This window comes from Homo sapiens, chromosome 4 (assembly GCF_000001405.40).
Source record: "Homo sapiens chromosome 4, GRCh38.p14 Primary Assembly".
Lineage (NCBI taxonomy): Eukaryota > Metazoa > Chordata > Mammalia > Primates > Hominidae > Homo > Homo sapiens.
Window position 1 is genome coordinate 80,292,365 of NC_000004.12, and position 3,033 is coordinate 80,295,397.

The window sequence follows — 3,033 nt, forward strand, 5'->3', positions numbered from 1 at the left end:
ATCATAAAAAGGGACATAGTTCCTTCTCTAATGAAACTAAATTTACGTCCAGATGAAACTGGACAACCACGTGAAAAAAAAAGCTGTCAATGAAGTTATAAACATAGATCTTTTTAAAAGATCTTTTCTTAGTTTAAAAAATATCCACTGAATAAGTGTGTGAGATTTGATCAAGACATTTACAAAGCTAGGATCGATTTTGGGCTTAGCATTTTATGAAGGATGTAAAAAATTTGAATTAACCTGGAGGAAGAATGGTCAGAGTGGTATCATTGTTGATAATAAATAGCCCTACTTAATTAAACATGCAATTTTAAAAACAGCTCTTTTGTGATTAAAGTTCCCCATTCTACATGAAGTCTTCTAGAAATTCTTGAAGAAATATGAGTAATTTCTTCTTGACATCATGCCTCCAAATAAGATAGCTCAGGACACAATTTTCTGTCACCATTCCCTTACTTTCCCAAAAATTCAGGAAATGTTTTCTGAGATCCCTCCTTGCACAAGGCACTCAGCTAGCAAGACATTCTTGGACTTGCTCAGTGCTTGTTTAGTAGTTCCTTGTGTATATTTACTTCAATGTACTCTCATATTTTGAACTTCTGGAGAAAATATGTCTGCCCTCATTGCACATTTCCCACCCTAAAATCAGGCTAATAAAAATAACTCAATAAATGCTCTTAGCGAAAAGCAAACTTGAATGATGTGTTCCTCTGGCTTAAACACTTTGTAGAGGCTATTGGATATTCTAGTTATTCACAAAACTTAGTGTGTAATTATAATTATAGGTTCCTGGCATATGTTAGTTGCTCAGAAATGCTTTTAGGATGTATACATGTGCTGAATAAGATTTATCGGACAAAAATGATGATGACAGGTAAGAGAATTTCATGTTAAATATGAAATGTCTCCTACAATAAGAGTAAGAACATCCACTGCCCCTCCTACTGTACTTGAAGTTCTCAAACATAAATTTTTAGACCAAACTAAAAATATCAGGCACTTGCAGCTGCATTTAAGTATCAATACATGTCATCATATGACACTTCAATTTCACTAGCAATCATAAAAATAGGTTACTGTGCAAATCCCAGTGCTTTTGCTATTTGTAGGCCAAACAAGCAGTCTAGTAGGATGCCAGTAGGTATCAGTGGGAGAGTAAAGACATTTCTTTTTGGTAATTTATTTCTAGATGTGCTTGTCCCTTTCCCTAGATAAACTCTTTCAGAGAAGACTGACATTTTTCTGTATCCTACAGAGAGATTAGTGAATGCATAATCACACAGTGACAGGTCCAGCTCCAATGTGTTTCTCATTAAATTCTCTGTCGTTCCCTCTGTGGGAAACTGGACAATTTATCAGATTTTCATACAGGGAGGTGAATTTCTGCTGAGGAGGAAACACCAATGTCTTTTACCTTCCTGAGTGCAATTATGGCTGAGCTTCCCTGATAGTACTCCATTTTATGATAGGGTTGTCATTGTAGGATGTGTGCATTCTATAACTTCTGACACTGGTTATATATTTGCACTTTTTAAAGTTAGCTAGTTGTCCTACATTTGCCTTAACACAGAATGTCTGAGATTAAGCATACCTGTATACTAAAATATTAATTGTACAAGGAGAATATACAAAGATTTCTCTAACAGTCACCATCTTAATGGAGCATGTGAGAGAATGAGTTTCAAATCTGGAAACAGAAAGTAGTATAAAAGCGTATGTTCTCAGTCAATTCTTGTTTTTTTTTTTTGCATAAAAGATGAATTTCAAAGGGGAGAAAAATATGTTTTCTGTTTAAGTAATTAAAGAATAACCGTTATGGCAATAACTACCATAAATTTTGTCTGAGATCTGGAGTTCCTTTAAGTTATGATTAGAAGGAAAATTCATGCCCATTTATTTATGTTGCCACATTTGTTGTATCACTGTGTAAAACAACAGATCAGCTCTGACAGAGAGTTTGTTTTCACTTTAGATATCATGTTGCCTAAGATTCTCAGCCTTTACCATTTGGTGAGCAAGCGAACAAATGAGAAAAATACACACGCATCCCACCTTGCTGGTGCAGAGCACAAACCACAAGATTTCTCCACTAGTCAAGGGAGTTTAATGTTTAATGACACAAAATCAACTCAGTCTAGCAAAACTCCAAGGTCCAAAGGAGCCAAGCAAACTAAAAGAATAATGATTTCTTGATTGCTAATAATTTATGGCAGAAACCACTAGTAAGTTTCTAATAAAAGCATTCAGTGTTCATTTAACCCCTTATACCTGGCATTATGCTGGGGTTCTGGGAATAGAATTAAACACATTGGTTTGAGGGAAATTTACATTCTTGCTGATAATATTAGGGAAGTGAACCATAGCTTTAGAATACGATATCCAGTTCTTGGTAGGTTAAAAATGACACTTATTCTTGCCAAAGGAATTTAGTATGTTGGGTCACTGTTTACCAGGATGGATCCAAAACCTTAAGCTGTAGTTTACATTACACATTTTAGAAGTAACTCTCAAGTTTCTTTGATGCTCCTTTTGGGAATTTATCGCATTTTTTATTGAATATTAACCTACAGGATGTTATCAAAGATGCAAGATGTTTCTATGCTTATTTTAAGATAATTAGGGATCCAATAGAACGTAAGAAAATTGTGTGCAGGCTTTTCTAATTCCATCTGCTATAACAAACATTTACCTTACAGCTGGGATTGGAAAAGCAATACGATCTGATTCCAGGATTGCTCAGAAATTGGAAAAAAACTCACCTGTGCTTCCCAAATTTATTTCCCAAGACAAAGATGTCTATAGCACAGAAAAAAATGCATGAATTAAAAAATCAAGATGTATTATTAAATATGGTCCTGAGTATTGCTTAACATTTCAGTTCTTTTTCTACCTGTTTGCTGGAAGCAAGAACATTGTTAACAATTTAGCACCTTTTTCATTAAACACCACCTCCCACTGTTGGTCTTAAATAAAGGATTATATATATATATCAGACTTCCTTTGAGAACAGCTGCTGCTTTTTGGACTGCT